This window comes from Homo sapiens, chromosome 14, assembly GCF_000001405.40.
Source record: "Homo sapiens chromosome 14, GRCh38.p14 Primary Assembly".
In the NCBI taxonomy this organism is placed as follows: domain Eukaryota; kingdom Metazoa; phylum Chordata; class Mammalia; order Primates; family Hominidae; genus Homo; species Homo sapiens.
This window is the reverse complement of record NC_000014.9, coordinates 77814543-77840565: the sequence shown is the minus strand read 5'-3', so window position 1 is coordinate 77840565 and position 26023 is coordinate 77814543. Positions and strand designations below refer to the sequence as shown.

Sequence of the window (26023 nt, the reverse complement as noted above, 5' to 3'; positions counted from 1 at the left end):
AGTTTAATTTCTTAATCTGCTGACCTTGACAGTGAGATTATCCAGAATTACTCAGATTGGCCCGGTGTAATCACCATGGCTTTTATAAGTGGCAGAGAAAGGCAGAAGAGAGCCAGGGAGATGGGAGGGGGAGAAGGACTTAGCCAGATGTCACAGGCTTTGAAGATGGAGGAATGGGACCATGAGCCAAGGAATGTGGACAGCCTTTACAAGATGGAAAAAAAAAAAGGAAAAGAATTCTCCCCTAGAGCCTCCAGAAGAATCGCAGCTCTGCTGACACCTTAATTTTCTCCCAGTGAGAACCGTTCCAGACTTCTGACCTCCAGAACTATAAGAGAATGAATGTATAGTTTGAAGCCACTATGTTTGTGAACATTTGTTAGAGCAGTCACAGGAAACTAATAGTCATAGGAAGCTACTGTATTAGTAGCTGCCACCTCCACCTCCCTGGTTCACGCTATTCTTGAATTTGAAATTTTTGAATTTGTGTTTTGGAAGTGAAGTCTGATAGGACAAAGGAAGGTGCGCCAGAAGATTCAGCTCCACACAGTCCCACCTCCTTGGCTGACCATTCCCTGCCCCGAGTACCCCAGCTCCTCCCCGCCTCCCTACTTCTTTTTTCCTTTTTTTTTTTTTTTTTTTTTTTTGAGACAGGGTCTCACTCTGTCCCCCAGGCTGGAGTGCAGTGGTGCAATCTCAGCTTGCTGCAGCCTCGACTTCCCGGGTTCAAGCGATTCTCCTGCCTCAGCCTCCCAAGTAGCTGAGGAGGCGCGCACTACCACACCTGGCTAATTTTTGTATTTTTAGTTTCATCATGTTGCCCAAGCTGGTCTCAAACTCCTGATCTCACGTCATCCACCTGCATCGGCCTCCCAAAGTGCTGGGATTACAGGCCAGCCACCACATCGGGCCCCATCTCCCTACTTCTACCTGCCATCACTGCTGCTCTCTGCAAGCAGTGCACCGGGAAGGGGAGGCCTGCATTGTGCACTGCTCTCCACCCTGCAGGTGGCCTTGACACAGGCACGGGGAGGGTTGGGGTCACACAGGTGCCACATGTTATCCAGCCCCATCCTAAACTAGAACAGCCACAGCAAGCTGAGCACACAGCTTGGCAGGCACCTCTCACCCACCCCCATCCAGATCCTGAGCTCGCCCCAGCACACAGCTTGCCATTTCCCGGAACCTGCCCATCCTTTGAAGGTTGGGGCAGCAGGGCCATGGGAAGGGAGGCTTTCCCACGCCCAGCCAGAGCCCAGCATTTTCATTTTGCACTAGTCCTCGTAATCACATGGCCGGCCCTGCCTCTTCCTCTAACAGTCTCCCCGCAGCCCTTCACTTGCTAGTCCTTTGATCATTCTTCAGTTTCAGCTGAAAAACATCATGCGAGAGAGCCCTTCCCAGACTCTCCCTCAGCCCCTCTTTATCCCATGACTACATTTTATCTCCTTTAGGGCACTCAGCAAGAGCTGAAATGACCTTGTTTACTTAGACCCACAGTGATTTCCTGAAAAGTGTACACTGAGACCACTCTGTGTGTGGCAAGCACTGTTCTTAGTGCTGCAGACACAGCAGCAAGCAATACAAACAAGTCCCCTATCCTCCTGGAGCGGATGTGCTTTTGAGTCCCATCATTGTGAATTACCTCTTGTCCTCCCAAGAACAGACCATTGTACACCCAGCACCCCACACAGTGCCTGGAACATAGTAGGCATTCAATAAATATCACTGAACAATTGGCTGAATGAATAGTGGCTTAGATAGTCTGCACTGTGGCCAGGCACAGCAGAGAGACATCCCCCTTCATCCCATAACATGTTGGGGGTTAGGGGGTAAAGATCTTTTCCATAAGCAAAAAACTGGAGCGGGAGCAGGTGCAGTGGCTCACGAGTGTAATCCCAGCAGCTTGGTAGGCCAAGGCAGGTGGATAGCTTGAGCCCAGGAGTTCGAGACCAGCCTAGGCAACATGGTGAAACCCCATCTTTACTACAAATACAAAAAATTAGCCAGGCATGGCAGCACGTGCCTGTATTCCCAGGTACCTGGGAGGCTGAAGTGGGAGAACCACCTGAGCCTGGGAAGTCCAGGCTGCAGTGAGCCATGATTGCACCACTGCACTCCACCCTGAGCGACAAGAGTGACACCCTGTCTCAAAAATAATAATAATAGATTGGAGGGAAGAGAAGCTTAAAGACAGATTGGGGCTGTGGGAGGGACAGCACCCCAGTTCCTGAACCACCTTGCCTTAAATTAGCTTCACATATGTCTTGCTGTTATCAGTCAACAGTTTATTTGTATATTTAAGTGAAGTTATTCGGCTAATTGGACATATGTCTCACGGTTCTACAGGGAAAAGTCTATTAAAAAGTCTTGCTGTAACAGGCAAGAGCTTTGAGAGTAGTTTTATTCAGGGACAGGAAGAGAGCTGAGTGGATTTTAATTTGGTAGAAAATAGCTGCTTGGGGCCAAGACAGTGAGAAGTGGGAAATCAAGAACAGGCTATTAGATTATTACTGCTGTTAACAAGCATCTCGATCACCCTTACGGCTGCGGAGTGCCTTCCGTCAATTTTATTAGTTATATTACAGCCTTCCATCTAGCCCTGCTATTCCAGCAATTCGCATTTTGGAGCTGTGGCCACTGAGGCAAGAGAAACACATCTCATCCAAGCCAGTATGAGTCTGTCCTCACAGCACCTGCAGCCTAACTTTGTCAACATGTTAATACATGGGAATTTTCTGAGTCCAAGATGAACAGCCCAAAGGGTTTCAGGAAAAATTGCAGAGGGCTGAGGGGATGGGAGAGAGGTAGAGAAAAAAACACTGATGTCTCGAGGCTTGACAGATGGCTCTGATGCCCTGATACAACACAGAACCCCATGCTGTATGGACCACTGGCCTGGAGGAACCCTGGGAGCTCATCCAGTCCAGATTAGTGAGCCGGGGAGTAGAGTGGTTACAGGCACAGCCTGAGGAGCTGCACCATTTGGCATTAATTCTAAGTTCCTGTAGTGGGTTGAATGGTGGCCCCCAAAACAATATGTCCATGTTCTACCCCTGGAATCTGTGACTGTAACCTTATTCAGAAAAAAGGGTCTTTGCAGATATAATTAAGAATTTTTAAGATGAAGCTGGGCATGGTGGCTCACGCCTATAATCTCAGCACTTTGGTAGGCTGAGGCAGGCAGATCACTTGAGCCCAGGAGTTGAAGACCAGCCTGGCCAGCACAGCGAAACCCTGTCTCTACAAAAAAATACAAAAATTAGCCAGGCATGATGATGCATGCCTGTAATCCCAACTACTTGGGAGGCTGAGGCAGGAGAATCACTTGAACCCAGGAGGCAGAAGAGATTGTACCACTCTACTCCAGCCTAGGCAACAGAGCCAGACTGTCTCAAAAAAAAAAAAAAAAGAATTTTTAAGATGAGATCATCCTGGATTGCCCAGGTGGACCCTAAATCCAATGACAGTTGTCCTTATTAAAAACAAGAGGTAGGCCAGGCACGGCGGCTCACTTTGGGAGGCCAAGGCAGGTGGATCACAAGGTCAGGAGTTCGAGACCAGCCTGACCAACATGGTGAAACCCTGTCTCTACTAAAAATACAAAAAATTAGTTGATTCCCCTGTAGCCGGATGAGGTGGCAGGCACCTGTAATCCCAGCTACTCGGGAGGCTGAGGCAGGGGAATCGCTTAAACCCGGGGGTCAGAGGTTGCAGTGAGCCAAGATCGCACCATTGCACTTCAGTCTAGATGACAGAGCAAGACTCCATCTCAAAAAAAAAAAAAAAAAAGAAAGAAAGAAAGAAAAGGTAGAGGAGATAGAGGCTTAGATTGCAGAGATTGCAATGATGCAGCCACAGGAATGCCTGGTGCCACCAGAAAAGGCAAGGAAGGGTTCTTCCCTAGAATGCTTCCCACCAGCAGCATGGTCCTGGGGGTTCTTTGATTTTGGGCCTCTGGCCTTAAGAAATGTAGGAGAATAAACTTCTATTGCCTTAAACCACCCAATTTGTGGTAATTTGTTATGGCAATCACAGGAAATTAGTACACCCGCTTGCTAGCTGTGGACGCTTGAACAAGTCACTCCATCCGTCTGTTCATCAGTTTCTTCATCTGTAAAACAGGGATGATAACAATGGTATTTACCTCATTGGGCTACTGTAAAAATTAAATGAGATAATAGAGACCCCTAAGTACAGTGCAGCAGAAGCCATCTTCATCCATTTGTGCTTCTATAACAAAATCCTTGAGACTGGATCACTTTTTAAAAACAAAACAAAACATTGTTTTAAATAGTTCTAGAGGCTGGGAAGCCCATGACCAAGAGACCCGCATCTGGCAAGGGCCGTCTTGCTGGGTCATCCCATAATGGAAGGTAGAAGAGTCAGAGAGCCCATGAAAGGGTGGGGATTGTGGGTGGAGACAGAGAGGGAGAGAGGGAAGGTACCCAAAATGAACCCATTCCCACGGTAACAGCATTATTCCATTCATGAGGGCAGAGCCCTTATGACCTAATTATCTCTTGAAGGTCCTACTTCTCAACACTCTTGCTTTGCAGATTAAGTTTCTAAAACACGAACTTGGAGATACCCATTAGTAGGAGCCTACCTGATGAACTCATTAAAAATATGGCTTTTGGCAGGGCTCATGCTTACAATCCCAGCACTTTGGGAGGCCGAAGCAGGGGGAATGTTTGAGCTCAGGAGTTCTAAACCAGCCTGGGTAACATGGCGAAACCTTGTCTCTACAAAAAATACAAAAATTAGCCAGGTGTGGTGGTGCAAGCCTGCAGTCCCAGCTATTCGGGAGGCTAAGATGGGAGGATCAATTGAGCTCAAGAGGTAGAGGATGCAGTGATGCAGTGAGCCATGATCAAGCCACTATACTCCAGCCTGGACACCAGAGTGAGGCTTTCCAGGCCTTACCTCAGAATCACTGACAATAAATCTTTAGTGTACAGGACCAAGGAATGTGTGCTTTATAAGGCTCCCCAGGTGACTGATTGTCTGACAGGTTGTGAACCACCTGGGTGCTGTCCCATTCCCACCTTAATGACAGACATAAAATCTCTTCTGTTTCTGGAAAGCTGCTTTACAGCTGTTCTGGGTGAAGGACATTTGGCTTTGTTGCATGGGAATGATAAACAATGAATCCAAAATACTGCTTAATTCTGGTTATACAGAAAGAAGGCTGGAGTCAGGAAAGAAGTACCCATAGGCTACAACTGCATGGGTAAGGTATTATTTTTGAAATTGGGCAATGATCATGAGGGTGATCACTGAATTATTTTTTACACTTTGTCTTAGGTCTTAAATATTTCGCATTTTTTAAAATACAAGCTGTATGCAGATATGGAAAAATAAAATGCTGGTATTGGCCATGGTCCCTAGGTAACTAATAAGTCTAGACCAAGGATACTTCTATGCACTCCAGTACTAAATTGCCTCAGCCACAGGGAAGTCCTAGCTTATGCCTACCCCGCATCTCTCATGATGTTGCCACATCCATTTCCAGCAGAGGTGGAAACAGCTCCGAAGCACCCAGTCCAGGGCGGGTCAGAAAACTGCTGGAGGTTTTCAGTGGGGAAAGCAATCAGCAATGAAAAGCCCAGCCTGGGTTGGTCTGGGATAGGGTCTGAGATGGGCAAGGGTAGGCTGAAACCAGGGTTACTCCAGTTCCTGCCCCATAGAGGGCCTTGTTAGAAGTGTAGGTCCTCACAATGCAGGACCTTCTCTGTGGAGCTGGGTGTTGTGCCTGCTCCACTTACCCTGTAGAACCAGGTGGTAGGGGCAACTGGAGGGCAGCTCTGAAGTAGCAGGAAGCCCACCCATGTGTCCAGGCAGCCCACATAGGTGAGGGAGCTGCAGACATGCACACGAGAGGAACTGTGTGCTGATCAGAATGGAGAGATGCCCAGCACACAGCAACGGGCTCATACCACCAAAAACCCAGGGGGTTGTTTTGTTTCATTATAGCTGTGGCCTTTGGAAAAGATCACTGCTTTAGAACCACAGCAGCAAACACCATCACATCAGGCATCTCCAATCCTAAAGCATTCCCAGGAGATGAATGGTGTGAGCTAGGAAAAGAGAAGAGCCGGAAAGAGAGTAGCCAAAAACAGCAGGGTAAAGATCGAGACAAGAGTGGGTGCAAGCCAGGGCATAGCCCAGTAGCATCTGCTACGGATGCTGCAGCCTTGTTTCTCAAAGTACGACCTTGCAGCAGTGATGGTATGCAAAAGGTGGTACAAGAGGCAATTTCAGCTGGTACCCAGAATATTTATTTGCATATGCATTAGATAGACAGAGAGAGAGAGAAAATCAAACCTGTAATTTCACAGATATTTTTGCTTAGAACAAAGCCAAGAAAGGAAAAAGTGTTGACAGGATGAAAAATATCACAGAAATACCTGAATAGTTGGTTATAAAGAAGTGTATGGGAATAATAAACAATGAATTGAAAATACTGCTTAATTCTGGATATGCAGGAAGAAAGTTGGAGTCAGGGAGGAAGTACCCACGGGCTATAACTGCATGGGTAAAGTGTACTATTTCTGAAATTGGGCAATAAGCATGAGGGTGATCACTGAATTCCTTTTTACACTTTGTCTTAGGTCTTAAATATTACACATTTTTTAAAATACAAGCTGTATACAGATATGGAAAAATAAAACGCTGGTGTTGGCCATGGTCCCTAGGTAACTAACAAGTCTAGACCAATTGAGAGGGTAGCTGGCATTTCCCTGATTGCCTAGGACCTACAGAGAAGCCACTACACAGTGAGCCCAATCTCCAGGGAGAATCACATTTTCTCCCAGGCCCACATTAACCCCCAGGACTCCCACTGATGGCCATGGGCCCTACCAAGTTTCTCCCCAGGTCACGTCAAGGCTCAAGAACCTACTCCTACAGAATCCTCCAGAATCAGAACGGTTTTGAGGTCAGGGCCACTGTGGAAAACTGCACAGATTTCGATGCAGTATTCAGAAAGCTAAAAAGGAGGTGCTAGACTCACAGACTCTGTCTCCCTAATTCCAAAGAACTGGTCCTTAGATGACCCAACCAGAGAGAATTAAATGCAGCTCATGCTCCTGCAGAAATTATCACAAACTCCGAGAAAGCCAGTCACCAAGATAGCAAGGATTCAATTTCTCTCCTCCTCTATGCAGAACACTCCCAAGCAAACATTCCGTGATGACAAACAAAAGCAGCAAAAGTGGGTCTAGACGCACAGTGCTTGAAAACTCACTGAAAAGATTCCATGACAGGTCGACAGGTGCTGCACGTGCAAAGGAGCTGTAGCTCAATGAGACCCAGACCACTACTCCAGGAGGAACGCATCCCAGCCCCATCTCCCAAGAAAAGCTACCCCTGAACATGCCCACCTTGCCTGGAAGTTAGCTGCTGTCAGGGATCAGGAGAAGTAATTCCAGACCAGGGGCCAGAGTTCTAATAGACAAATCAGTCCTGTAGCTGGTGATTTCATGCCTTCTGCCCCCCTACCCCCAACCCTCAACTATGACAACTTGAGGGCAGAGGTTGAGTCTTACTTCCCATTTTCTCCTCTGAGCCTCACCCTGTACCTGACACAGAGCAGGCTCAGTTAACGTTAGCTAATGTAATAGATGGATGGAAGGATGGTGAAGAAATGTCCTGGTTTGGCCAGACCAGATCCCAGGTTTCAGGGAATATTCCTGAAGAACCAGACATTGCTACAGTTCCCTTTGCAGACAAACAGGATCTTTAAAATGCTTAGTGAATTATACCTTCACTAGACTGGTAGGATGGTTATCCTCAAAACTGGCAGTTGTTCAATAGCTTCAGAGTTGAAACTCTTTCCTGAAGCAAAGAGCCAGCACCTATCAATTCCTTTTGAAGGGTCTACCCTCCCCTCCATAGGAGAATGCTAAATATTTGTTAACTGTTTTATTGATTAAATGAGTAAAGGAACTTCAGGGAGGTGGCTCTATTGCCCTTCTTCCTCCTCCGGTGTTTCCCAAATCCATCCCAGGCAGCAGCAGAGCCTCAGGCTCAGAGGAGGGAGGGTGAAGAGGCAGGAGGAGCGACTCCAGCAGCAGCAGCCAGTTGGCAAGAGCTGCTGCACAGGCATCTTTGTGTCTACTTTCTGTCCAACTTGGTGCTTTTCCCCAGACTGGAAGCAGATATACAGGGAAACGACAGAGTATAAAGTGCAAAGAACATGAGATTGGGCAGTATCTGAACATCAAGATCAAGTTCATGATGTGCTACACACCTGCTGGGGATGTAAGAAATCACATCACTGGCCAGGTGCGGTGGCTCACGCCTATAATCCCAGCACTTTGGGGATTACAGCCAAGGCGGGCGGATCATATGAGGTCAGGAGTTCGAGACCAGCCTGGCCAATACGGTGAAATCCTGTCTCTACTAAAAATACAAAAATTAGCCAGGCATGGTGGCATGCGCCAGTAGTCCCAGCTACTCAGGAAGCTGAGGCAGAAGAATTGCTTGAACCCGGAAGGTAGAGGCTGCAGTAAGCCGAGATCATGCCACTGCACTCCAGCCTGGGTGATACAGTGAGACTCCGTCTCAAAAAAAAAAAAAAGCCATCACATCACCTTTACAGAACTCTACTTCCACATGTGTACATTAGAGGCTTGAGCTTGCTGATGCCCAAGATGTCTTTCTCAAGTGCAGTGGAATAGTTATAGAGTTGTCACCCGACCTTAGCCCCTTACTCTGCCCCTCCAACCAATATCCACAGGCCAGAAATTTGAGTCCCTTTTTCTCCAAAACACTCTACCATATCCCATGGTTCTAAAGGTTGCAGGAGGCTGGGCATTGTGGCTCACACCTGTAATCCCATCCCAACACTTTGGGAGGCCAAGGCAAGAGGACTGCTTGAGCCCAGGAGGTCGAGGCTGCAGTGAGCCGAGATCACACCACTGCACTTCAGCCTGGACAACAAAGCAAGACCCTGTCTCAAAAAATAAATAAATAAAATAAAAGTTGACAGTGTCTGACTCTTGCCTCTAAGTGCAGATTTTAGTAATGCCAAAATAGCTGTCCCATACTCCAACCCAAAACACCCTATGTTCCTAAGCAAAGTTAGATGTAAAGATTAGCAGAATTTGATAGAAACAAATGGTTCTTATAGCAAATTTACAGCTACCTCCCCTCCCACAATCAGTACTACAGGAGAACATTCTATCCCTATGTTTCACACAACCATGCGGAGGGAGCCCTAGTATGCATAACACTCCTGACCTCTCTGTCCCACTCCTTCACTCCTTGTGGGAGAGATAATCACCAATCAGATTAAGGAATTTAGGAGAAGAAACAGAGTTTGCTCAGCTCACCCCTTCCTCTCTCCTCTCTGTTTGGGATCTGCTTATCTGCAAAGCATTGATTTTCAGCTCCTTCCTCCTCTAAGAGGCAGTCCCCCAACTGAGAGGCTTGTCCAGCCATGTCTGCCTGGGTAGGTAAGCCTCTCAAATTCAGGGGTGAAGTTCAGCAAGCCCACCTCCTCCAGACCCCAAACTATATGCTCAGCCCTGTGTCTATCAGTAATGAAGCTGATGAATTTTGATCACCACCTGGCAGGGTCCTGCATCTCCCTGACTCTGCTTCTCAGGTAAGGAAGAAGATATTAACCATTACTTGTAGTCCAAATATTAGGCGCTATAGTAACTAACCAAACAAACACATACTACTGACCTGAATCATCTGATACCACAGAAGCCCAGAGACCTACCTGGGAACAAGAATTTGAGCTTAGCTAAAAAAACTTCACACTCAAAGTAGCAATCAAGGTCACCTCCGACATTTAACTCTGATTTAAAAAAGAAAAGGTTCCTGTTCTTTTTCTCTCTCATAAGCACACAGACACATATAAACATGCAGGTTCACACACTTCTACCCACTGTCCAACACAGAAGCTCAAAAAATATTTTTGGCAAGTGGCACTGGTGTTAAAAAAAAAAATTCAATAACTGGTTGGGTACAGTAGCTCACGCCTGTAATCCCAGCAGTTTAGGAGGCCGAGGTGGGAGGATCACTTGTACCCAGGAGTTTGAGACCAGCATGGGCAACATGACAAGACTCTGTCTCATATTTAATTAAAAAAAAAATTGGCGAGGCACGGTGGCTCATACCTGTAATCCCAGCAATTTGGGAGACCAAGGCAGGCAGATCATTTGAGGTCAGGAGTTCGAGACCATCCTGGTCAAGATGGGGAAACCCTGTCTGTACCAAAAAATACAAAAATTACTTGGGTGTGGTGGCGCATGCCTGTAGTCCTAGCTACTCGGGAGGCTGAGGTGGGAGAATCGCTTGAACCTGCGAAGCAGAGGTTGCAGTGAACGGAGGTTGCCGTGAGCGGAGATCGCACCACTGCACTCTGGCCTGGGCAACAGAGCGAGACCCTGTCTAAAAAAAAAAAAGAAAATTTAATGATGCAATAACTTTAAGCATTCTCAATCACCAAAGGCTTAATAAATAACTTTACTGGAGAATTTTCCATGGCTCCCTATTGTCTATGGCTTAAAACCTGGCCTTGAGTCCCTCTGTTACCTAGCTCTAATCCTATTTGCCACTATGCCCCTTCACTCTCCTAGTCTCCAGTAACATTGAATTAATCTTTTTCTTATAGACAACCCCCAAAATTTCACCCATCACGCTCAGCCAAAATCACCTTGTCCCCAAGGCTACATGTTTCCATCAACCCACCTTTCCAAACTCAGCTCCCATACCAACTTAACTCATTCAACCTCACCTATTTCAGACCATTGTCTCTGCTCATGAATGCTTCAGTGGTCTTAACTATTTTAGAGTGTAAGAGAGTCAAACAAATAAGGAAATATATTGTAGATAAGAGGCAGGTTTATCACTGTCAGAGAAAGAGGTGATATTTAAAAAAGGGAGAATGCTAATATGGACTCTGTGATGTTGGACTAAAATTGGAGATATAAGCATCATTTCATAGTTTTTTGCCCAGATACGGTGGCTCATGCCCATAATCCCAGCACTTTGGGAGGCCAAGGCACCAGGATCACTTGAGGCCAGGAGTTCAAGACCAGCTTGGGCAACATAGTGAGACTCTGTCTCTACAAATAATACTTTAAAAAATTAGCCCTGCATGGTGGTGCACACCTGTAGTCCACTACTCAGGAGGCTAAAGTGGGAGGATAGCTTAAGCCCAGGAGTTGGAGGCTGCAGTGAACCATGATCGCACCACTACACTCTGGCCTGGGTCGTGACAGGGCAAGACCATGTCTCAAAAAAAAAAAAAATCTTAGTTTTTTAGTAGAAAGACAGAAGTGTGTGTATGTGTGAGTGAGTGTACACACATATATATCCTCACTCTGTCTCCTAGAAGGGCCTAGAAGCAATGGTACCCCAGTAGCAAAACGATATACCTAACCTCTACAACTTGGTTTCTAAATACCATTCTCCAGTAACAGGAACCAGGGCTCCTTGGAGAAGTAATTGATTCCAGGACAAGGAAAATACAGGATAAGCCTGAAGTATCTTTCAGTACAAGAATGTAAGGCAGTGCTCAATATAGGTTGGGGGTATATCAAAAGGACACAGGAGCCAACCTGAAAGAGCTCCCAGTGGCCAAAGGTGGAACCATTTGAGCAATAAAATAATGATTGTTTTGGATATAAAGGAAAAGTATTGTCTGGATTATATATGGGACATAGACCCCATAGAATAAAATAAATATCCATGAGTTCATAGTGATAAAAATAATTAAATGGCTGGGCGCAGTGGCTCACGCCTGTAATCCCAACACTTTGGGAGGCTGAGGAGGGCAGATCACCTGAGGTCAGGAGTTTGTGACCAGCCTAACCAACATAGTGAAACCCCGTCTCTACTAAAAATACAAAATTAGCCGGGTGTGATGGTGGGCACCTGTAATCCCAGGGAGGCTGAGGGAGGAGAATCGCTTGAACCCGGGAGGCAGAGGTTGCAGTGAGCTGAGACCACGCCACTGCACTCCATCCTGGGCAACAAGAGCAAAACTCCATCTTAATAATAATAACAATAATTAAATAACTAGGGGAGAACGGAAAGGTCTTTCTCACAGAAGAATTCCAATTAATAAATGTATAGAAGAAATGAGGAAAATAGAATATCATTAACATGTTCATTAAAATGATAAGGAGCTATCAAGGCTAACCCTATGCTCAGGATCTCCTCTCTGGCTGGTTTAAATAATCCACAATGTTAAATTAAGCAAAGCTTCTCATTTCCATTCTTATAAACGGAACAGGGGCAAAGGCTACCACCATCATTTTGTGGATAGAAAAGCAGAGGCTGGCCAAACATGGTGGCTTACGTCTGTAATTCCAGCACTCTGGGAAGCCAAGGCAGGTGAATCACCTGAGGTAAGGAGTTAAAGACCAGACTGGCCAACATGGTGAAACCCCATCTCTACTAAAAACACAAAAATTGGGCTGGGCGCAGTGGCTCATGCCTGTAATCCCAGCACTTTGGGAGGCCGAGGCGGGCGGATCACGAGGTCAGGAGATGGAGATCATTCTGGCTAATACAGTAAAACCCTGTCTCTACTAAAAACACAAAAAATTATCCGGGCATGGTGGCACTCACCTGTAGTCCCAGCTACTTGGGAGGCTGAGGCAGGAGAATCACTTGAACCCAGGAGGTAGAGGTTGCAGTGAGCCGAGATCACGCCAATGCACTCCAGCCTGGGAGATACAGCAAGACTCTAGCTCAAAAAAAAAAAAGCCTTTTAAAAACTAAAAAAATAAAAGCAGAGGTGCTTGGCAGTGGAGTAGGACTAGGTGCCAGGGGACCTGGCTCCAGGTCCAAAATGGCTCCAATTCTACCCAGCACCATCCAAACCTCTCTGCACCCTCCTTAGGCACTAAAATTTTTGAATTTCATTTCTTCCCTTGAGTTACGGGCCCTCCTGTGACTATCAAAACTCCATTTATGCTTAAAAGACCCAGCATGTTTAAGTGGCAAACTGAGGGCCATAGAAAAAAAGAAAAAGAAAAAAAAATAACCCCAGTATGCTTCTCCAAGAATCCACAGTATATAAGGACTCATTCGGCTGCAAGAAACAGCAAACTTAACTCAAACCACCTTGGGCAAAAAAAAAAGAATTTCCTGGTAGCTATAACTGAAATTCCAGCAGTAGTCTAGCTTCAATTTCAGCTAGATCTAGGGACTCAAATTATGCATTTCTTTTTTTTTTTTTTTTTTTTTGAGACAGAGTCTCACTCTGTAGCCAGGCTGGAGTGCAGTGGCCCAATCTCAGCTCACTGCAACCTCCACCTCCCAGGTTCAAGTAGTTCTCCTGCCTCAGCCTCCCGAGTAGCTGGGACTACAGGCGCCCACCACCACGCCCAGCTAATTTTTGTATTTTTAGTAGAGACAGGGTTTCACCATGTTGGCCAGGATGGTCTCGATCTCTTGACCTCGTGATCCACCCACCTCGGCCTCCCAAAGTGCTGGGATTACAGGCGTGAGCCACCGTGCCCAGCCAAATTATGCATTTCTTTGCAATACTAGCTCCATTCACAGACAGGCTTTCCCCTCATGGTGGCAAAGATGGCTGCCAACAGCTCCAAGCCAACATCTTACATTCTCAGCTCACTCAGCAGAAAAGAGAGAGCTGCTCTTCCCAGAAAAGTCCTGCGCACTGGCCAGAACTGGCTCTGGTGCTCAGGTTTCCTGAATCAACCTCCAGGGCCGGCAGAATAGACTCCGCTGATCACCTGGCTAATAAGGGTGGGGTGAGCCCTTCCCAAACTCATAAAGTGTACATCAATACAGCGGCTCCCCAGAGGAAAGTTTATATGCTGTTCCCCAAAATGAGAATGGCTTCCAAACTGAAAAATTAACAAATATCCACTACATCACAAACCCTCATCAGAATCAACTCTATCTTCTCTCCTCCAGCCCCATTCCTGGATGTCTACACCAGCAATGACTTCTGTATGCTTTATGAATAAGCCAGCTCACACACATCTCAGTTTATAAGCATCTTGAACACCAGGGATCTGGTTCTCCAAAGCACATGAGCCCCTCCCCACCACCTTGGCTGCCTAGCAAAGGGCCACTATGCCTCTAGAACACACTTCACGTTGGCTCTTAGCCCTCTGGTTCCAGATCTGAGTCACTGAGATCCCAGCCTTCCTGCGCCAACCTTGAAAGTGCTCGAAGTCACCGCCTGCCGAAGCTAGCCTCCTGGCTCTGACATACTCTGAGACCTGGAGATGCTGGCTTGACAGTTGAGATAACTATGTTTTACCCTTCACTCATTCCTTTATCAGCCACACTGACGAGAAGGGATAAGCGCTCCAATGGAAGAAAACACTCCTGCGGTATTTACTCATGCTCTTAGTGCCAGCCAGCTCCCCCTTCCCAGGCACAACTCCCAGAGACGGGCCTACACCCTGTTATCTGGTGCCAGCCGCCACGTGCTGTTCTCTTGTCAAATGCCAGGCTGCACTTTCCTTACTGCATTCCCCAAAACTGTCAGCTTATCTAGGAGCTACAGTGTCACTGCCTTTCAGATGACTTACATGTGACACGTGACAGGCAACTGTCTTTTTGACACCCATCGCCTGCCTCCTCTGCAGATTCCGTAAAGCAGAGGCCTTGCCCCTGTGTCCGAGCCTGCAAGCTCTCCGTAGAATGTTACACCAGTGGATGCCAAGGCCCATAGCACCGGTTAGCTGGAGAAAGAGGGGCAGGGAAGCGCAGTGGGCAATTATGTCTCAGAAGCAGGGACTTTGAGATCCTCCATAAAAACTAACATTTCGGTGCCTGTAGTCCCAGCTACTCGGGAGGCTGAGGCAGGAGAATCACTTGAACCCGGGAGGCGGAGGTTGCAGTGAGCCGAGATCGCACCACTGCACTCCAGCCTGGGTGACAAGAGCAAAAACTCCGTCTCAAAAAAAAAAAAAAAAACCTAACATTTCATTCACTCGTTCGTTCAACAAACCTTTATTCAGGACCTGTCACATCCTGGTGATGGATGCTGCAGACATGGAGATTCACAGCACAGACCAAGTCTCTGTCCTCATGGAACATACCTTGTAGGAGACATCTGACTTGTTTTTGATACCTGCTTTCTATTTCACAAGGCACTGAGATATTATCTACATAATCCTGAGTAAGTGGCATAACCATCTCTAATGACAAATGGCATCTCCAAAAGGCTAAATGAATATCCCAAAGCCGGCTTAGCTAAGTCACAAACTCGGGTCTTCTAACTATTAACCTCGTGCTCTGTCTGGGACCTCCCCAAAGGTAGGGAGGTGGCAGGATACAGGCTGGCATTGAAACAGACATTAAATCAACACAGGCCTACGCATCATCGCTAGAGATACAGATCGAAAAATCAAAGACTCAATCCCTGATCTAAAGGAACAGATAGTCTAAAAAGAAAGGCATGTAACCAACTATCGTCTGTGGCAAGAATAAAGATAAAATGATTAAATTCAAATAGGAAGACATCTCTGGAAGAATGCACAAGAAATAATAATTGCCTCCAGGCAAGAAAATTGGGTACCTGAGGAACAAGGGTAGGAGGGTCATTTTGTATGTTTCAAATACCGTATATTTTGATTTATGTACTATTTGAATGTATTTCCCATTAAATAACACTTTGAAGATGTAATCAGCCAAATCCTGAAGGTAGGAAATTCTACAGGATAAATTATCTGGTTTCTTCAACAAACAACTCAAAAAAGAGGGAGAGCGACGAAATGTTATAGACTTTTAAAGATGTAGAAAATGTCAACCTTAATATATCTACCTTATTTGGACATTTTGATCCAGATTTGAACAAACTAACTGTAAAAAGGCATTTTGGGGCTGGGCATGGTGGCTCACGCCTGTAATCTCAGCACTTTGGGAGGCCAAGGTGGGTGGATCACTTGAGGTCAGGAGTTCGAGAGCAGCCTGGCCAACACGATGAAACCCAGTCTCTACTAAAAATACAAAAATTAGCCAGGCGTGGTGGTGCGTGCCTGTAATCCCATCTACTAGGGAGGCTGAGGGAGGAGAATTGCTTGAACCCGGGAGATGGAGGTTGCAGTGAGCCAAGATCACACCACTGCACTCCAGCCTGGGCAACAGAGCAAGACTCCATCTCAAAAAAAAAAAAAAAGAAAGAAAGAAAGAAAGAAAGGAAAAGACATTTTGGGGACAAGGGAAATTGAATATGGACTATCTATTAGAGATTATTAAGGAATTGTCAGTTTTGTTAGGTATGATCATGGTCTTCTGGTTATATTTTTTTAAAGGTCCTTATCTATTGCAGGTATATACTAAAGTATTTACAGATAAAACAATGTGATGCCTGAGATTTGCATTTAAATATTTTGGGGAAAAAAATTAAGTGAATGAAGCCAGGCATGGTGGCTCACACCTGTTTTCCCAGCACTTCGGGAGGCTGAGGCGGCGGATCACTTGAGGCCAGGAGTTCAAGACCAGCCTGGCCGTCATGGCGAAACCCTGTCTCTACTAAAAACACAAAAATTAGCCAGGCGTGGTGGCCTGCACCTGTAATTCCAGCTACTTGGGAGGCTGAGGCAGGAGAAGCACTTAAACCTGGGAGATGGAGGTTGCAGTGAACCAAGATCACACCACTTCACTCCAGCCTGGGCCAAAGAGTAAGACTCTGTCTCAAAAAATAAACAAATAAATGAATGAATAAAAAAATAAATGAAACAGGCCTGGCACAGTGGCTCACACCTGTAATCCCAGCACTTTGGGAGGCCAAGGCAGGTGGATTACTTGAAGTCAGGAGTTCAAGGACAGCCTGGACAACATGCTAAACCCTGCTTCTACTAAAAACACAAAAATCAGCCAAGTGTGATGGTGTGCATATGTAATCCCAGCCACTCAGGAGGCTGAGGCAGGAGAATCACTTGAATCCAGGAAACGGAGGTTGCAATGAGCCGAGATCACACCACTGCACCCCAGACCGGGTGATGGAATAAATAAATAAATAAATAAATAAATAAATAAATAAATAAATAAAGGGGGGAAAGATGACTAACAAGATGGGCAAAATGTTGATAGTTTCTGAAGCTATATGACAGTTCCACCAGAGTTCATTCTACTGTTCTCTCTACTCTTGTGGATGGTTGAAATTGTCATAATAAAAAGTTTAAATAAAAATTTAGAAATTAATTATTCCATCCACATAGGAAAACTGAGAAGAAAAGCATCACAGAGGAGAGCTTGAGCCGAGTCCAGAAGGATGACGAGGACTTTTCTAAGGGGCAAAGGGGTTCCTTTGCATTCCTGGCTGAGAGGACTGCCTGAGCACAGACATGCCAATCTATCACAAACCTCTCTCTGGAGGAGCCAAAGGTATCTACACTTGACCTCAAACTCAACCTACATCCACAAAAAATGCCCTCTTGTTTGATCTCCCAAGTCTCCGGGATATCTAAACACATATCAACATCAACTACCCTGTTCCAAGTGACGACAGAGAGTTTGGGGTTGACAGCTCAACTCAGAGGCCTACGAGAGGCCCCAGAGTAGGCCTCAGAGGATAGGACAGCAAGTAACCTCTTTCAACTGGGTTTTGCCTGACAAAACAGTTTAGAAGCCAGCTGAGTTATCTGCGGGACAGAGCCTACATCCCTCCTGAGTCATCCCAGACCCTTGTACTCCCCAGAAACACACACTGGCCTCTCCCACAGCACCTTGCAAATTGATAACCTCAGTACCATGGCATCCAGCTTGATGACAGTCTGACAGCACCCCTCAGAAGCACTGAAACCTCTGTGTGAAGGAGGAAGTGGTCCTCCTCTCCTTCCTTCCAAACCCTCAGTGGCCAATGCCCCCAGCCTCAATCCCCTACACTGCCCTCTGCCCAATTCCAGCTGTACACAGGAAGCTTCGTGGCTAGGCAGCTGCTTCAGGATTTATCCAATCCTAGGCCGGGCACAGTGGCTCATGCCTTTAATCCCAGCACTTTGCGGGGGTGAGGTGGGAGGATCACTAGAGCATAGCAGTTCAAGGGTTATCCAGTCCTGGCCTGGCTCAGATGGGTCCCATGGGTTACTTACCTTAGATCTCAGCTGCAAGTACTCCTCTGAGCCATAAGGGACACTCTTCAGGGAAGTGAGGTAGTCGTAACTGATGACAGCCGTCTGTGAACCAAGGCAGTGGAGAAAAGCTTAGCACCTGGACATTAAGTACTACTACTCTGCCCAAACCTTGCAGTACAGGTCCCTGACACAGCTGCTATGTCTGGGGGAGTGGCCAGTCCCACCCCTAAGATGCCTGGCCCCTGGATCTTATTCTAGCTAGCTTCCTCCTGTTATTCAGGACTCTGTGCAAATGCCACCTCTGCAGGGGCCCACGCCAAAATTGCCCCTCTTACCTGAAACATTCAATTATTTATCATAACAAACTACCATCCAACATTACCTTGCTCATTTGTCTCCTTGTTTATGAACTGTCTCTTCCTATAAGCTTAAACTCTAAGCTCTAGAAGCACGGGGGCTTGTCCTTCCTGTCCATCACTTACCACAGCACCTTTTACACTGCCAGGCACATTGAGTAAATGCTCAATCAAAGCTACTTGAATAAAGTTGTTACATAAACTTAGCCCACTTCTCCACATCACAAATAAACATTATTTTATATGTATGTTTGCTCTAATAGCATAAGTCTTTTTTTTTTTTTTTTTTCTGAGACAGAGTCTTGCTCTGTCACTCAGGCTGGAGTGCACTGGCATGATCTCGGTGATCTTGGCTCACTGCAGGCTCGGCCTTCCAGGTTCAAGCAATTCTCCTGCCTCAGCCTCCCAAGTAGCTGGGATTATACACACATGCCACCACACTCGGCTAATTTTTGTATTTTTAGTAGAGATGGGATTTCGCCATGTTGACCAGGCTGGTCTCGAACTCCTGACCTCAGGCGATCCTTCCACCTCAGCCTCCCAAAGTGCTGGGATTACAGGCATGAGCCACCGCGCCTGGCCCTAATAGCATAAGTCTTGATTCTGTGTTCCCTTATCCAGAGTGAATCAGAAAATTCCAATCTCCACGATATCCTAGGCATGGAAGGGCCTTAGGGATTATCTACCCCAAACCTTCCTTTATAGAATTGAGTAACTGGGACCCTAGAAGTTCAGGGACTTACAAAGTTGATATTAAGAAGAGTTTCTTCCTTTGCACTCTACAAAGCTTTATCCTATTCGACATATGCTTGCTGGACACCAACCACAAGCAAGACTTGGTCACTGAGTAGTGTTCAAAGACAATCCAGACCAGAGCTCTGGCCTTTAAAAAATGGACAGCTTTGTGGCTGTTTATAAAGCGTATCTTCCTCCTCCTTTCCAACTATTCAAATCTCTAAGATTCCATTCCTGATCCATATCTGCCTCCCTCCTTTCCAACTATTCAAATCTCTAAGATTCCATTTAAAACCTGCTTCTGGCTGGCCTGAAGGTATTGAGTTATCTCAATTGATTGTTCACAGTCAGTCACAGATCAAACTCCTTGCTCTACTCTTTCTCCCCTTCTCACTATTGCACTTGACTAGTCTAAAAATATATATATACAGGCCGGGTGTGGTGGCTCACACCTGTAATCCCACCACTTTGGGAGGCCAAGCCAGGCAGATCACTTGAGGTCAGGAGTTCGAGACCAGCCTGGCCAACATGGTATAACCCCATCTCTACTAAAAATACAGAAATTAGCCAGATGTGCTCACTTGGACCCAGGAGGTGAAGGCTGCAGTGAGCTGAGATGAGATCACACCACTGCACTCCAGCCTGGATGACAGAGCAAGATTCTGTCTCAAAAAAATAATAATAATAAATATATATATATATGGATTTGGATGCATGGATTTGGATTGTTTTTTAACCTATTACTGTAGGCATTACTCAACCATATATGTGTGTATACACACACACACACACACACACACACACACGTAAAATTGGCCTGGCACAATGGCTCACACCCATAATCCCAACACTTTGGGAGACCAAGGTGGGCAGATTGCTTGAGCCCAGGAGTTTAAGACAATCCTGGGCAACATAGCGAAACCCTATCTCTACAAAAAAATAGAGAAATTGGCCAGGTGTGGTGTCAGGCATCTGTGGTCCCAGCTACTCGAGAATCTGAGGCACGAGGATCTCTTGATCCCAGGAGGTGGAGGTTGCAGTAAGTGGGTATCACACCACTGCATCCCAGCCTGGACAACAGAGCAAGACCCTGTCTCAAAAAAATAAAGATTTAAAAAAATATACATATATATATATATATCATAAAATAAAACCTGCTACCCCTAGGATACCAATCCTGACTCCCAGGCCACAGCACTCACTCTAGTGTCTGAACATAGTAGCGGGCATCTGAATCACCCACCTTGGCACAATGCATGGATTTAGATTGTTTTTTAACCTATTCATGTAGGCATTCCTCAACCAGAAGCTACTTCGTAGCTGGGTCTAGGTGGGACAGTTTGTTTCTGCCCCTCAAAGCATGTAAGACAATGCTCGACCAAAAAAAGGCATTCGGTAAACACTTGGGAATTGTTTTATGTTCCGTAGCCTGATTATCCAAAGTCTATCTGTCAGTATTGGTTCTACGACTCAGCTCAGCCTTGAAGACAGGCACATCAGTGCCCTCCCCTGTGAGCCAGGGCTCAAAAGACACCTGACAACACTGAGTATTAGGGAGATGGTGAGATGACAACCACAATAGACTGTGCATCAGATTGAATCTACGTGAAGGGGAAGAAAGCTTGAGCTCATCCTGCAGCAGATAAAGGAGGAAAGCAAGCATGAGGCATGTGGCCATCTACCCACCAATGGGACAATTCTATAGGAATGTCTGGGAGAGTTGTTGTCAGCAGAATTAAGAGGACCTGATCACACCAGGATGACGTTCCTGTTGAGCCACTGGAGAAAACCTCTAAACATAAAATATTCAACTCAGGTTCTCTGTCAGTTTGGAGACTGGAGGGGATCCCTCAAAGTTGTCTGAGGGCTAGACCATCTGGGTATGAGTCCTGCATCAGGAACCATTCATCCTAGCTCACTGGAGAGGGATTGAGTTTTCTAGTAGAATTTAATCAAAACTGTAAAGTCCTCCTTGCACATGCATTTACTGAAGAGCACGGCCCCTCTTGGTGTGTTGTTAAAATAAGATACAGAACCTAAAATGTAAAGGCTTCAGAACACAGACCCAGTGCAGTCCCATTCTATGTTACCTCAGGATCACAGGAACCCCTGAGGTACAGGAATAAAGGAATATGAGGTTGTGTGTTCAGGAATAAAGGAATATGAGGACACACATCCATATGTGTACACCTGTGCAGATGTAGCTTTTGCACATGTAAGGATACACAAGTATCTCCACATATGCATAGCAGGCATGTCTATCTGCTACATGTATGAACACCTGCAAGTAATCCTGCAGCTTCTCTGCTACCCCCAAAAGGGAAAAACCTACCGTAGCAACTGCTCTGCCCACCCTGACAGCGCCAAAGTCATTAGGGTCCAAGTACTTGTTACTGTAGAAGTAGATGCCAGAGGCAGCAAGAGCCATGCTGGTCCACGAAGCAAGCTTGAGAGCCTTTCTGGCCATGTCGCCAGATCCTGCAGAAAAAAGGAAAGTTGAGAAAGAATAGCAGTTAAAAGTTTCATAGTTAGTCAAACTGAAGTTCAAATCCCAGCTCTACCACTTAGATTATATGACCTTGGATCATTAATCTCACTGAGCCTTAGTTTCTTCGTTTGTAAAACAGGATAATACCTACCTCAAAAGTAGTTGGGATAAAATGAAATAATGTACATAAAATCCTTAGCATAGTACCTGGGGCAAGTCAGTCCTCAAAGTCCTTCCTTCAACAGTGCCAGGCACTGTTCTAGACATGGGGAAAGACAGTGAACAAAACAAAGTTCTTGCCCACTTGGAGCTTACACAGATAGATCACTATAGAATATCAGAGCTGGTATAAATGCTGACAAGAAAAGCAGAGAGAGGCTGAGCATGGTGGCTTATGTCTGTAATACCAACACTTTAGGAGGCCAAGGTGTGCAGATCACTCGAGTCCAGGAGTTCCAGACCAGCCTGGGCAACAAGACGAAACCCCGTCTCTACGAAAAATACAAAAATTAGCCAGGCATCATGGCACGTGCCTGTGGTCCCAGCTACTCAGGAGGCTGAGGTGGGAGGATGGTTTGAGCCCGGGAGGAGGAGACTGCAGTGAGCTGAGATCGTGCCACCACACTCCAGCCTGGGTGACAGAGCCAGACCCTGTCTCAAAAAAAAGCAGAGAGGGCTAAGGGATCAGGAGAGAGGAAGAATGTTATTTTAGAAGCAAAGCAGAAGAGCAGGTTAACCATTGCTACTGTGTCTATCATGATACCACAATGCACATACAGGCATCACTAGCCCACTACACTCAGGTCAAAAGTGGTCAGGCCACAGCCAAAATGGCGGCTACTCAGGAGCAGCCAGGTGAGCCCTCTGTGTATGGTTGATTTTCAAAACATTTACTTTGGTTAGAGAAGACTACCCCTTGAGGCCCAGCGTGGTGGCTCACGCCTGTAATCCCAGCACTTTGGGAGGCCAAGGCGGGCAGATCACAAGGTCAGGAGATCAAGACCATCCTGGCTAACACGATGAAACCCCGTCTCTACTAAAAAAAAAACAAAAAATTAGCCAGGCGTGGTGGCGGGCGCCTGTAGTCCCAGCTACTCGGGAGGCTAAGGCAGGAGAATGGCGTGAACCCGGAAGGCGGAGCTTGCAGTAAGCCGAGATTGCGCCACTGCACTCCAGCCTGGGTGACAGAGCGAGACTCCGTCTCAAAAAAAAAAAAAAGAAGACTACCCCTTGTCTTGAATGGAGGCTCCTTGAGGGCAGACACTATGACTGTCACTACTCTGCCCACTCACAGTCCTGTGGAGTTTTTTACAGTTAGAGGCTTAATGCCTACCTGCTGATTTGATCTGTTCAAATTCATACTCCTGGTCAATGTGACCTTTCCCCACCCTACTTGTACCTGCTCAGTCCACCAGGTGGCTGCACAGTCACTCTTTGCGGCCAGTGCACCCAACAGAGTGCTTCCCCTTCAATTCCTGAGCAATTTATGTCAGACTAAAGTCCATGACCACAGCTGCAGCTGCCAGGAGAGAAGTGCCACACGAGAGCAGCAGCACGCCACCAAGCCACTTGCAGGCACCAGCCTTGCACGCCTTGTACCCTCATCCCTCTGCTCTGGAATGAGTCTGTGCCTGTCACCTCCCTGCTCTGTGCCTGTTTCCCCTTTGTATGGAAACTATTATTACAAACAAGCTTATCTTCATTTTATTTGTCTCTGAAACAGGGTCTTGCTCTGTCGCCCAGGCGGGAGTGCAGTGCCGCGATCTCGGCTCACTGCAACCTCCGCCTGCCAGGTTGGAGCGTTTCTCCTGCCTCAGCCTCCCGAGTAGCTGGGATTACAGGTGGCCACCACCATGCCCAGCTAATTTTTGTATTTTTAGTAAAGACAGGGTTTTGCCATGTTGCCTAGCCTGGTCTCAAACTCCTGACCTCAGGCGATCCGCCTGCCTCAGCCTCCCAAAGTGCTGGGATTACAGGTGTGAGCCACCACGCCCTACTCATTTTCTTTAAAGTCTACTTTGACTTATGCCTTATAATATAGCCACATTTTTTAAATATATATATATATATATATATTTACCATCTACTACCTGGAGATGGTGTCAGATCCCATGGGTTGAGGGCCCAGTCCCCAAGACTGCATCCCCCACTTCCCCCCACAACATCAGTCACAAGTCCAGGTCTCTGGAACTTCTGACCAACCAGCTTCAAGCTGGGGTTCCCACAACCCCTTCTTTGGGTTCGATCAAGCTGCTGCAGCAACTCACAGAACTCAGGTACACACTTACGTTTGCTGGCTTATTATAAAGGAGACTGCAAAAAATACTGATTAACAGATGTGCAGGGTCAGTTAACAGCGAAAGGGCGTGAAGCTTCCAGGACTTCCCTAGGCGCACCACACTCCGCAAATCTCCAAGTGCTCAGCTATCAGCCCTCTTGGGTTCTTGGGTTTTTATGGAAGCTTCATGATATCAGCATTCCTTCCCTCAGTGTATAGGGCAGAACCTACTCTAGGGAGGGTTAAGATCCACAATCAGAAAGGTGGGGAAAGACCACGATCCTGCCTTGGGGCAGGTGAGAGGAGGGCAGGAAAGAGATTCTGATTCCTAAGGCCTGGCCCTGAGGCCTAACACACACCAAAAAAAACCGTAACAAGGGCTGTGGGAGTTATGAACCAAGAACAGCAGACAAAAACCAATATATATAATAACACCACAATAGTCCTTTTTTATAATTCCATTGCTCTTCCCTTTGGAACCTTCATTTCCTAATCTAGTATTTCTAAAGTATAATCAGAGGAACACCTGAAAAAATATTAGCCTGGATGCCATTTCAAAAATGCAGATTCCTGGGCCAAGAGAGGTAGCTCACGCCTGTAATTCCAGCACTCTGGGAGGACCAGGCAGGCGGATCTCTTGAGGTTAGGAGTTCCAGACCAGCCTGGCCAACATGGTGAAACCCCATCTCTATTAACATTAGCTGGGTGTGGTAGTACACACCTGTAGTCCCAGCTACTTGGGAGGCTAAGACATGAGAATCACTTGAACCCAGGAGGTGGAGGTCGCAGTGAGCTGAGATCGCACCACTGCACTCCAGCTTGGGCAACAGAACGAGACTCCATCTCAAAAAAAAAAAAAAAAAAGCCAGGTGCGGTGGCTCACACCTGTAATCCCAACACTTTGGGAGGCCAAGGCAGGCAGATCACGAGGTCACGAGTTCAAGACCAGCCTGGCCAATATGCTGAAACCTTGTCTCTACTAAAAATACAAAAATTAGCCAGGCATGGTGGTGTGCACCTGTAGTCCCAGCTACTCGGGAGGCAGGGGCAGGAGAATCACTTAACCCAGGAGGCGGAGGTTGCAGTGAACTGAGATTATGCCACTGCACTCCAGTCTGGGCCACAGAAAGAGACTCCATCTCAAAAAAAAAAAAAAAAATGCAGGTGCCTGGCTGGGGGCAGTGACTCATGCCTATAATCCCAGCACTTCCGGAGGCCACAATGGGAGGACTGTTTGGGCCTAGGAGTTCAAGACCAGCCTGGGGAAGAAAAAAGGGAGACCCCATCTCTACAAAAAATTTAAACATTAGCCTGGAGTGATAGCCTACGCCTATAAGTCCCAGCTACTCAAAATGCTGAAGTGGGAGGATCCCTTGAGCCTAGGAGGTCTCGAGGCTGAAATGAGCCATGATCACGCCACTGCATTCTAGCCTGGGCAACACAGTAAAACCCTGTTTTAAAGAAAAAAAAAAAAAAAAAAGACAAAACAAAATTTTAAAACATTTTTTAAAATGTAGATTCCTGGGCCAGGCTTGGTGGGAGGCCAAGGCAGGAAGGTCAAGAATGCCAGACCAGCCTAACCAACATGGTGAAACCCCGTCTCTACTAAAAAAAAAAAAAAAAATTAGCTGGGCGTGGTGTCACGTGCCTCTGTAATCCCAGCTACTCGGGAGGCTGATGCAAGAGAATTGCTTGAACCCAGGTGGTAGAAGTTGCAGTGAGCTGAGATGGTGCCACTGCACTCCAGCCTGGGCGACAGAGACTCCTTCTCAAAAAAAAAAAAATTTTTTTTTAATTTTTTTAGTAAAATAAAATAAATAAATGTAGATTCCTAGAGTCCACCCCATGGGCCACCGAACTACCAACTCTAGGGGTAAGATTCAAGAATGTGCATTTTAATAAGATAACAAGTGATTTGTCTGAAAGCTCAAGTTTGAGAGCCACACTTCTATTTTTCTTCTTTTTTTTTTTTTTTTTTTTTTTTGAGAGTGTCTTGCTCTGTCACCCAGGCTGGAATGCAATGGCACAATCTCAACTTACTGCAGCCTTGACCTCCTGGGTTCAAGCAATCCTCCCATCTCAGCCTCCGGAGTGGGCTAATTTTTGTTGTAAAGATGGGGTTTCGCCATTTGCTCAG

At 46.4% G+C, this 26023-nt stretch overlaps 1 protein-coding gene across 13 annotated transcripts in view, besides 1 other annotated feature; it reads right to left on the bottom strand.

Annotated features, from left to right (window-relative positions):
• The window catches only part of ADCK1 (aarF domain containing kinase 1), a 134906-nt gene that overhangs the window by 94449 nt on the left and 14434 nt on the right, over positions 1–26023 (bottom strand). For 10 of the 13 annotated variants that reach the window (NR_158989.2, NR_158987.2, NR_158988.2 and 7 more), the window contains exons 2-3: positions 21453–21598; positions 18048–18131 (exon numbers count right to left, since the gene is read on the bottom strand). Coding sequence is in view for 8 of the 13 variants with exons in the window: in NM_001366487.2 (NP_001353416.1) it covers positions 18048–18131; positions 21453–21587 (219 nt within the window). In the remaining 5 variants the exon portion in view is untranslated. Of the gene's footprint in view, positions 1–10133; positions 10246–12594; positions 12713–18047; positions 18132–21452; positions 21599–26023 lie in introns of those variants that run through there. The other 3 variants (NM_001366490.2, XM_047431611.1, XM_047431610.1) reach the window with 3 other exon arrangements.
• Positions 23059–23108: an enhancer, noted in NCBI's record as "active region_8814". NCBI's record gives its function as "activates an Ori minimal core promoter by ATAC-STARR-seq in GM12878 lymphoblastoid cells {active_cell/tissue: GM12878}" and the evidence as "EXISTENCE:reporter gene assay evidence [ECO:0000049][PMID:35858748]".